Source organism: Homo sapiens, chromosome 13 (genome assembly GCF_000001405.40).
Source record: "Homo sapiens chromosome 13, GRCh38.p14 Primary Assembly".
In the NCBI taxonomy this organism is placed as follows: domain Eukaryota; kingdom Metazoa; phylum Chordata; class Mammalia; order Primates; family Hominidae; genus Homo; species Homo sapiens.
Window position 1 is genome coordinate 48,064,773 of NC_000013.11, and position 10,181 is coordinate 48,074,953.

The 10,181-nt window shown below is 40.9% G+C and overlaps 5 annotated features.

Moving 5' to 3' along the window:
* Window positions 1,254-2,453: an enhancer, noted in NCBI's record as "MED14-independent group 3 enhancer chr13:48640162-48641361 (GRCh37/hg19 assembly coordinates)". NCBI's record gives its function as "activates an origin of replication core promoter dependent on BRD2, BRD4, P300/CBP and CDK7 cofactors, and independent of MED14, by STARR-seq in HCT116 cells {active_cell/tissue: HCT116}" and the evidence as "EXISTENCE:reporter gene assay evidence [ECO:0000049][PMID:35650434]".
* Window positions 1,806-2,185: an enhancer, noted in NCBI's record as "active region_7722". NCBI's record gives its function as "activates an Ori minimal core promoter by ATAC-STARR-seq in GM12878 lymphoblastoid cells {active_cell/tissue: GM12878}" and the evidence as "EXISTENCE:reporter gene assay evidence [ECO:0000049][PMID:35858748]".
* Window positions 1,881-2,175: an enhancer, noted in NCBI's record as "tiled region #3717; HepG2 Activating DNase matched - State 14:Gen5', and K562 Activating DNase unmatched - State 17:Gen3'". NCBI's record gives its function as "activates a minimal TATA promoter and a strong SV40 promoter by Sharpr-MPRA in HepG2 cells, with weak activation in K562 cells {active_cell/tissue: HepG2 | K562}" and the evidence as "EXISTENCE:reporter gene assay evidence [ECO:0000049][PMID:27701403]".
* Window positions 7,193-8,392: an enhancer, noted in NCBI's record as "MED14-independent group 3 enhancer chr13:48646101-48647300 (GRCh37/hg19 assembly coordinates)". NCBI's record gives its function as "activates an origin of replication core promoter dependent on BRD2, BRD4, P300/CBP and CDK7 cofactors, and independent of MED14, by STARR-seq in HCT116 cells {active_cell/tissue: HCT116}" and the evidence as "EXISTENCE:reporter gene assay evidence [ECO:0000049][PMID:35650434]".
* Window positions 7,524-8,024: an enhancer, noted in NCBI's record as "H3K27ac hESC enhancer chr13:48646432-48646932 (GRCh37/hg19 assembly coordinates)". NCBI's record gives its function as "activates a minimal SCP1, AML or CMV promoter by ChIP-STARR-seq in naive H9 embryonic stem cells {active_cell/tissue: H9 hESC(naive)}" and the evidence as "EXISTENCE:reporter gene assay evidence [ECO:0000049][PMID:30033119]".

Consider the following 10,181-nt stretch of genomic DNA (forward strand, 5'->3'; position numbering starts at 1 on the left):
TTTCATATACGTGGAATCACACCATATGGGGCTTTGTGTCTGGCTTCTTTCACTTAGTATCTATTTTCTTCAAGGTTCATTCAGGTTGTAACATATATCAGTACTTTATTCCTTTTTATAGCCGAAGCATATTCCATTATATGGACTTAACACATTTTATTAACCCACTCATTAGTTGGACAGTTTGGTTGTTTCTGCTATTGACTATTATGAATAATGCTTCTATAAATACTTGTGTACAAGTTTTTGCACAGATGTGTTTTCAAGTCTCTTGGGTATATAACTAAGAAGTGGAATTGCTGGGTCATAAAGTTTAACTGTTTTTAGCTTTTTTACATATATATTTTTGAGACAGAGTCTTGCTCTGTTGCCCAGGCTGGAGTGCAGTAGCATGATCTTGGCTCACTGCAACCTCCACCTCCTGAGATGAAGCAATTCTCGTGTCTCAGCTACCTGAGTAGCTGGGATTACAGACGTGCATCACCACATCCGGCTAATTTTATTTCTGTATTTTTCTTAGAGACAAGGTTTTGCCCTGTTGGCCAGGCTGGTCTCGAACTCCTGGCCTCAAGTGGTCCACCTGTATTGGCTTCTTAAAGTGCTGGGATTACAGGCATGAGCCACCACACCCACCCTTGTATTTAGCTTTTGAGGGATTGTTAAAAGGTTTATCAAAGTGGTTGTCACATTTTATACCAGCAATATATGAGAGTTCCAATTTCTCCATCTCCCTTCCCCACTACCGCTGGCAAAAACTGTTCTACTTTCTGTCACTATGAGTTTGGCTACTCTAGGTACATCATATAAGTGGAATCATATAGTATTTGTCCCTTTGTGACTGCCTTATTTCACTTAGCATCATGTCCTCAAAGTTCATCTGTATCGTAACAAGTGTCAGAATTTCCTACCATTTTAAGGTGGAATGATATTCCATTGTATGTATATACCACATTTTTAAAATTGATTCATCTGTCAATGGACATGGGTTGGTTCTACCTTTTGGCTATTATAAATGATGCTGTTATGAGCAAGAGTGTACAAATATCTGTTCAAGTCCTTGCCTTCAATTCTTTTGGGTATATCAATGATATTTTAGAGTTTATAATGTAAGTCTTACAATTCTTATGTTCAATGTGTTTCTTAGTGTGTTGCTCTTTTTTATGCTATGGTAAATTGAATTATTTTATTAATTTTATTTTCAGATTATTCATTGCTACTGTATAGAAATGCAGTGTTGCATGTTGATCTTGTATTCTGCAACCTCACTGATTTTACTTACTGATTCTAATAGCTTTTTAGTAGATTTCTTATGGTTTTCTATACGCAAGATCATGTCATCTGTAATATATTGTGTATGATCCTTGAAGTTTTACTGTTAGTTTAGTGGTTAGCTTATGATTAGACAGAGGTTTCCATAATTACCTCAAACAAGTAAGTCTCCCTGCCTTTGCCAAGTGAGCTCTACGTGCATGTTGGAGCACACTTTCAATGCTTTTGCAGGCAGTTTACAACTCTACCGTGCCTTCACTCCCTGCTTGCCGGAAGCCTCAAGGTCAGACAGAGGTGACAGATTAGGGCCATCTTAGGTATTACCTGGGCATACACACAACACTGAGCATGCATGTCACCTTCTAGATTTCCAGGAATATGTCAGAGCTTTTCAAAGCCCAATGTGGATATCTTATTTTCCAAACTTTCCTTTCTACGTTTTAAGTCAGCTGTTTATTTGCTTCAGTTGTTATTGCAGCCTCAGGCAGCTGTGATACTAAACTCTTGTCACTGATTGTTTTTGACAAATGCATCCAGAGAAAAGACTGTTCACAATGAGAGAGCGCTCAGTCAGGTCAAATAAAGACAAACCTTATTGAGACAGCCAAATGCCTAGGCAGATAAAAAGGGGTCCCCAGAGAATCTCCAACCTGCCCCACAAGTGTTTACATCAGATACTTTTGCACAGAGGGAACCTGCCCAGGGCTTGTCTGGGCATGCCCATAACTGACTGGATCCTGATATGCACATGGGGGGAAGTGGGTGGAGCCAGAGGGAATTCACCCCTTATGCAAGGGAGGAGCCTGCCCTCTTCAGCTTGTGTGGTGACCTGGGAATCAATCTGTGAGGTGGGGGGGGCCTGTTAGCAGGACTACATTTTGCTTTGCTGAGTTTTATTCTTTTTTTCCCTTTCACCCAATAAAATCCTGCTCTACTCACCCTTCAATGTGTCCACGTGCCTAAATTTTCCTGATCGTGTGACAAGATTCTGGTTTTAGCTGAACTAAGGAGCAAAATTCTGCTACATTTTGGCACCCAGATGTAGGACTTGAGGAAGAGTAAGATGCAAACCAAAAACTTTTTTCCTTTTGCTTCTAAGCCTTTTTGTCCTCGAACTTCTGAAGGTAGAGAAAACTATGCCTCCCTCCCCCCCCAACCACTGTTGCTCCCAGGGGTTGGGAATGTCAGCCTTTTCCTTCTTTTTCTGGATAGACAGGCAAACTGGCAGCTCCCCTGCTCCCCTCTTAAGTTTCTCTCCCTGTTGGAAGAACCCACTTGCATTTAAGAGTAAGAGGTTCTTCCTCCAGGTGTCTTTCCAACCCTGCACTTTAAACTTTTTCCTTTTCTCTACCCTGTCAGCAGTTAACTTTTAAGTAAGAGTTTTTTCTTTTTTCTTTTTAGAAGACATTTTACTAGGCCAGAAATGATAAGGATCATTGTTTATATTCTCTGTAAAGTTTTAACTATGAAAAAGGATCTGTAAGGTTTGTCTTAAGCTGTAGCCAATCTGGTGTGCTTTGCATGACTTTCTGTATAGTCAGCAGCAAACTTCGCTGCAGGCCTCCATCTTGTTTTACATCCTTGAGAGCATGACCTGTAACCATGTGGCAATGTTTTGTTTAGCCCATTTTACAATGGCAGCTGGGTTCAATCCTGGCTTAGGGAATGTATCCTTTCTGGTCTGATGTCTGTGCAACCTTTGCTATTTGTTGATTCTCTTCCCCTCATGAACCACTTTGGATTTTCCTTTCTCTGAGCCTCTAGTAAAGTTTGAAAGCAAATAATATGGCCGCTTGGTATGTCTAAAGTCAGATAACAAGGGATTTAAAAGGATTTTAGTAAAGAGCACTCAGGTTAATTAAAAGTGGATATCTAAGTTATCAGTATATTTAAAAGGCCTTTATGTTTTTCTTTTCTTGGATCTTGTTTTGCTGGAAAAAGGGTTTTTTCTCAGTCGACCGAATTATTTTTCTTCATTTTGCCTTGTCACTCTCAATGCATGCATGACAAGCCCCAAGATAACTCCTGGGGGCATGGGACTACTTGGGAAAAACAGAGAAGGCACCACTGACTCCATTTTGGGAAGAAACTTGTTTTCCTCATGGAACCCCAGGAATTAAAAGTGGTTGGATCCCTCTCAAAATCTGTTTTTGCCCAACCTATGCCTGTTTATTAGGCCTTAGAAGCTGCATGTTTTTCTAGCCCTGTCTCTTAAAGGGCTCCACCTGGAGGCCAATAATCCAATTAGGAGATTGGCAAATGAAAAATCTTAGGGCTGCTAAAAATCCTTCTGCCTGTCTGTGTAGTTACATATGTGTGTGCATGTGACATCTATAAAAAAGAGCTCTAATTTACTTAAAGAAGGATAAGCACTTGAATCAAATATTTTGTAAAAGGGAGGATAAAAGGTGTGGTACCTTTCAGTTTACATGACTTTAATCTTTGAGAAATAAAAACAGTCTTAAAGATTACTGGTAAAATGCAGATGTGATCAAAATGTAAATAGGTGGACTAAATTATGCAGGTCAGATACTAAGTTTGCTAAATATTTTAAGGTAATAAACTGCTTTTTTGGTCTTTGAGAACTGTTTGACTTGCCTGTTTCACAACTGGTAAGCCCTGGGGACATACGGAATTAACCACAACCTTAATTATGCTGGAAGGAGTCAAAACTTGGCTGCACCTAGCACGTAATTAAAACATCTTAACAGGTTTTACATTAAAGTTACAAATTGCTAGGAGTTACCATTATAATGTAATTGAAACTACTGGAAATAGATTTACATGAGAGGTGCATAAGAACAGTAAAGTAAGTCTTTAGAAAAAGATTATAAGAAGGTGTGGAAATGTAAATTCTTGCCTAAGTTAAAGGATTGCCTTGAATTAGATAAGCTAAAAGTTCAAACAAGTTGTGGAAGGACTGTAAAAATTAATCTTGCAAAAGAAATTCCATGTGGGAACATATTGACTAAATTCACAAAGGTATTATATGGTTTTTCTATAAATTGAGCATTGAAATAAAAGCACAACAAAGTCCTCTTAAGACACTAATCTCTAGCAAAATTTGTAAAGGGTTATAAAAAGTTTTTGCTTTTTCAAAATTTCTGAGTCATCATTTTGGCAAAATAAATAACTTACAGTAATCTGGAATTCTGTTTCATAACATCAAGTGTTTTAAACCTCTAACGTATTTAACAGGCTCCCCAAAATAATCAAACTTCAGTTTCAAAATAGTCTTTCCTGATGCTTGGATTTTGGATGTGAAAAGGGCCCCCGGAGTATCCAAAAGAGAGGTAAACAGGATTATTTGACATGTTTAGGTACATGGGATTGTCAAAATGATATTCAATCTTCTTTAGGTTATATTTTAGTGAATACTACTACTATATGTTCCAAAATTACTTGGGATTTCTAAAATTCTAATGTCTGAAGTATATGCTATCAATCATAATTAAGGGGGTTATGTCTTTGTCAATTATGTTTCTAACTGTAACTACTCTGGACATTTTGTTATCATAGACAATTGTTGTCTTGTTTGGATCCTCTTCAAAAGATCGTTTATAATCAGCTGTATATCTTTGACAGGTGCTCTCAAATACAGGTTTCTAATAACTTTGGAGATTGTGACACTGGGATAAAGGAAAAATGTACAGGAGTCATGAAGAGCTGAAATGTTCATGAATATCAAGCAAAACAAGAGTTAACTGAATGGAGTGAACTAGTAGAAAACTGAAGTAATCTTTTTGACTTTTGCTTGGAATATTGCTGGTCCTTGTTTTTTTTTGTTTGTTTTTCAGAGTCAAGGAAACTTATTTTGAGCTATTTATAGCCTTTAATAATTGAGTAAGGTATACTCCTGTGAACAAAATTTGGAGCATATTTGTCTCTCTCTCTCTGCCTGGCTTCTCCAGAATTTGGGAACTACTTGTGAGTATTCTTAACTTATGGCAATATAGTTGTTTGCATTGGTGCAAGAAAAATCCATTTTCTTTTGCAACAGGATGCAACCGGAGAAACTGGTTGTTTTACCAAGGCTTTGACTGGAAGGATATGCTTCCCTTTAAGGAGTCAAGCTCGACTTGCAGAGCCAATAAAAGCCCCTCAGGAAAACTGGCTTCATGCCCTTGTCTACACAGTCCCTGTAGACTACAGCTTCCTGACCTGTAGTCAGTAAAGAATGTCACTTTCTAACAGGCCCAGGAGCTCCAAGTTTATCTTGGGACCTTAAGAGGAGAGGATCACCCAACTCACAGGTATCTGAGGATACAAACCTATGACTGGGCTCAGCTTTAAAAGATCTTATCTGAGATTTCTTGTGGAACAGAGTTCCACCAAAGCCAATCTAAAAGGCCTATGTAGATATAGTTATTCTTACTGCACTTTATGCAATAATCAGGCTAAGTACAAGACTAAAGTCTATTTTGCAAACAACTCAGTCCTATCATGATTTTTTTTTAACAAAAATGAGGACTGGAGAGAGAGAAATTATATTTCAAAACTTATACATTTGTCATTAAATTATAAACTCATTAGTTGTTTTTAAGTTTTTGCCTACATTTTAGACTAACCATGCTTGTTGCTGTGAACTAACCAGAAATCTCTGGCTGCAGCTCAGAAGGAACAAAAGAGAATGGGTGATATAAAAATCTGGATCAATAGTCTAGTTTTGAGCAATTATCCTGCGAATCCTGCCAGGTGATGGGAATAAATAGGGTGCTCATAACATGGGGGTTTCCTTTTTGGGAAAGTAAGACCAAGGGAGCTAACCAAAGCCAAGCCCCATGCACCCAAATCTTAGCAAGCATAACTATAGCCACCAGTTATCTGGGTGTGTAACAGGACATTCTTTTCTCTCCCTTGTTGGAGGAGGACTCAATCCCACAGCTTCACCTTAGCATTTGGCTTATGATGAGGAGTCAGTGCAACCCCTCAAGACACAATTTTGTCCCAAACTCAATTCTAAGCTTCGAGTTGAAGCCCTTGGAAAGAAAACTGGGTCTGAGGGATCCAGAGGCAGATATGGAGGTTAAAAGGCACAGCATAGGTGAGCATGACTAATTCCTGGCAATAAAGCCAAGCTTCCCATTTCATGGATAAAGGTCATGCTAGTATCCATAGCATAAACAAGGTCTAGGGAATTCAAAGACTACTGATAGCAGGGGAGGTACGGTGTACATGGGTAAGAGTGGATACTCCCACACCCTAGGCCCCCGTTAACATGGGTGAAAGCCGCTTTGACACCCATGGGTGGCACCATGTCACGGTTGCTGGGAAATGGGGATATAAGGACAGAAGACAGAAAGAGTGACACCTTGCTTTCCCCCCCTCACATACCCCGGGTATTTGCTAGGAAGAGAAGGGAACCTGGAATGCCTCATTCCCCTCGTTCTAAATGAGTAGACATTCATCTTCAGTCTGTACTCCTTTCTTTTTTTTAAGATGGAGTCTTGCTTTGTCGCCCAGGCTGGAGTGCAGTGGCACTATCTCAGATCACTGCAACCTCCACCTCTGAGGTTCAAGAGATTCTCATGCCTCAGCCTCAAGAGTAGCTAGGACGACAGGTGTGTATCACACCTGGCTAATTTTTGTATTTTTAGTAGAGATGGGGTTTCACCATGTTGTTCAGGCTGGTCTCAAACTCCTACCCTCAGATGATCCACCTGCCTCAGCCTCCCAAACAGCTGGGATTACAGGCATGAGCCACTGCACCCGGCCAGTCTGTACCACTTTCAAATGCATCCTGAACATCTGGGACTCCTCTGGAAAAAACACCTTTTTTCCTTTTTCCTCCTGTCCTCTCTTCACTAATAAGCAATTATGTCTCCATACTATGGGACACTCCCCTGAGATGCATCCTCCAAACTGGGAAGAATTAATTTCCCAAACCTTAGACTTTGGCTTAGGATTGGGCTTAGGGGAAGGCAACCCAGAAGCCTGACATGCTGGCAAAAGGGTAAAAGGTCTTTTACCAGTGGGGCTTTTGGCCTCTTTCTCCGTGTGCAAACTGGTAAAAGGCCTCGGGATTTCTGAGCTGTCCTTACCCCCGCCCTGCTTTGTTTTGATATGTTTTCCAATAACCCAGTTTGTCTCTTCTAGCCTTTGGGCCGTCAAATTCCAAATAGTCATGCAAAGCAGCCTCAGAGGATGGTCCCTTTTGCCAGGGACCCTTAGGTATGCCTCTGAGGGAAATCTGACTGCCATTTTCCCAAAATAGCACTGCTTGTTACCAGGAAGCAGTTAAGCTCGATCTTCATCCTTATCCTTATCCTTATTCTAAAAGCAGTTAGATGTACTTCTTTAGAGGAGGGAATAAGACAGCCAGATGCCTAGGCAGATAAAAAAGGGTCCCTTGAGAATGTTCGCCTCGCCCCATAAGTGTTTATATCATATGCTTTTTTGCACATGAGGGAACCTGTCCAGGGCTTGTCTGGGCATGCCCACAAAGGACTGGAGCCCAACATACGCACTGGGGGAAGTGGATGGAGCCCCAGGGAATTTGTGTCTCACAGGGGAGGAGCCTGCTCTCTTCAGCTTGTGTGGTGACTGATCTCAGAATCAATCTGTGGGGTGGGGGGCCTATTAACAGCACTCCATCTTGTTTTGCTGAGGTTTCTTTTTTCCAATAAAATCCTGCTCTACTCACCCTTCAATGTGTCTGCATGCCCAAATTTTCCTGGTTGTGTGACAAGATCCCAATTTTAGCTGAAGGAGCAAAATTCTGCAACATTGTGAAGGGGGGTTTCCAGAAAAATGCCACACAGAACTGTCAGGTCAAATAACAATTCTCAGCAGATGGTGTTTTGAGGGAGCTTCAGAGCCCCTTCTACACCCTCCAGTGGCTGCTGGTTTTCCCTGGGATTGTGGCACTGTTGGTTGTCAAGGCTAACACAAAGTTTGGGAGATGAGATGAAATTAGGGTTAGTGGAAATGCTACAAAGCAGGCTGTTCTTGCTGAGATTCAGGTGGTTTTCTTGAGTAAAACTTCCCACATTGCCTTTGGTTAATTTCCTGAATTCTGGAGTTCATTTTGACATATTTGTTGTTCTCATTGTTCTTAAAGAGTGGCTTTTCATAGGTTCTTTCTCTACCATTCCCATTGGTATCTTAAAGACAATCCTTGGCGTCACCCCATTTCACTCTTACGGTTCAGCTCAATATGCAGACATAGCTCTACAGAACCACACTGCCATTGTTTAACTGCTCACAAAATTTCGTTATCATCTAATACTCAATTTATAATTAAATAACATCTATTACCTCAGAAATGCCTCTTTATACGATATTATTTGTTATTTTCTCTTCTTTCAGTGAGCTATGGGAGGTTAATTCTTTGTATTGGCTATATAATTAGGGGAGATGCAGGTAGGGCACCCCGCAAGGGTCTAGCGCTAGTTAAGTGGATTCTGGCTTTAAACAAGAGGTGTAAAGGGGGCCCTTAGAGTTTTCTTTAACATCTTCAAGCCAGTCCTCCAGGGACATAAATTGAAATTTATTCTTTTTTTGAGAGAGGGTCTTGTTCTGTCACCCACGCTAGAATGCAGTGGCACGATCACAGCTCCCACACTCAAGTGATCCTCCCACCTCAGTCACCCCTAGTAGCTGGCACTATAGGCATGTGCCACCATGTCTGGCTAATATTTGCATTTCTTCTACAGATGGGATTTCGCCATGTTGCCCAGGCTGGACCCAAACACCTGGACTCAAGCAATCTGCCCACCTTGGCATCCCAAAGTGCTGGGATTATAGGTGTGAGCCACTGCACCGAGCTGAGATTCATTCTTGCAATAATTATTTACTGGGGGCCTGGGGGCCTACAAAGTGCCAAGCACTATGCTGAGAAGGCAGAAACCTACTCAGAACACCCCTGCATTTCACATGTCACAAGTATGGCAGAAGTTTAGGAGGATAAGATTAGTGGAAGAGAGACCCTTAAACAGTTACAAGTCTTTCTAGCACCAAGATCATTTCAAAAAAGCTGACCGACATCCCCAGAGTTAAAAGTTATACTTATCAGTAGGAAAGAATAAACAGCCTACAGATTTCCTTAGAGGGGACATTGGAGAAACAAATACAAGATAGTAACTTCCTATGAACAAATTTAGAAATCTGCCTACAGAAGTGTGGCTTTGCAAATGTTTTTCTTCCTCTACCCTTTGTTTTTATCCCCAAGGTGTTTCCCTTTACCACTTAAAAATAACTGCTGATGCAGCTGAGGGATGGATTTGTCCACTCACAACCTCAGAATACATAATTCTTAGGCAGATCTCACTCTAGCTTCCCAAAGCGACAACTGCACAAAGTTATACCAAGATCAAAAACTGGTACTTCTGAGCCCAGCATGGTGGCCTGTAATCCCAGAACTCTGAGAGGCTAAGGCAAGAGGATTGCCTGAGGCCATGAGTTCATGAACAGCCTGAGCAACAAAGTAAGACCTCATCTCTGGAAAAACAAAGAAACAAACAAACAAAACAGGCACTTTTGGGCTAGATTTGTCCCACAGTTTATATAATCTAATTTTAAAAGCCTGGGCATACACTCTAGTTTTGGCCAAAATTTCTACCACTCCCTGTTAAGTAATATCTAGCCAACTCCTTACATTTGTGTGAGTGGCCTCGTCTCTGAAGATAAATTTGAGTTTATGACCTTTTATAGACATCATTTCCAGAGGCAGTTATTTTAAGGGCATCTACTGGGACACACACAAAAACCTTTAAAAAAATTTTTCAGGCTGGGCGCAGTGGCTCACACCTGTAATCCCAACACTTTGGGAGGCTGAGGAGGGTGGATCACGAGGTCAGGAGATCAAGACCATCCTGGCTAACATGGTGAAACCCCGTCTCTACTAAAAATACAAAAAAATTAGCCAGGCGTGGTGGTGGGCACCTGTAGTCCCAGCTACTCAGGAGGCTAAG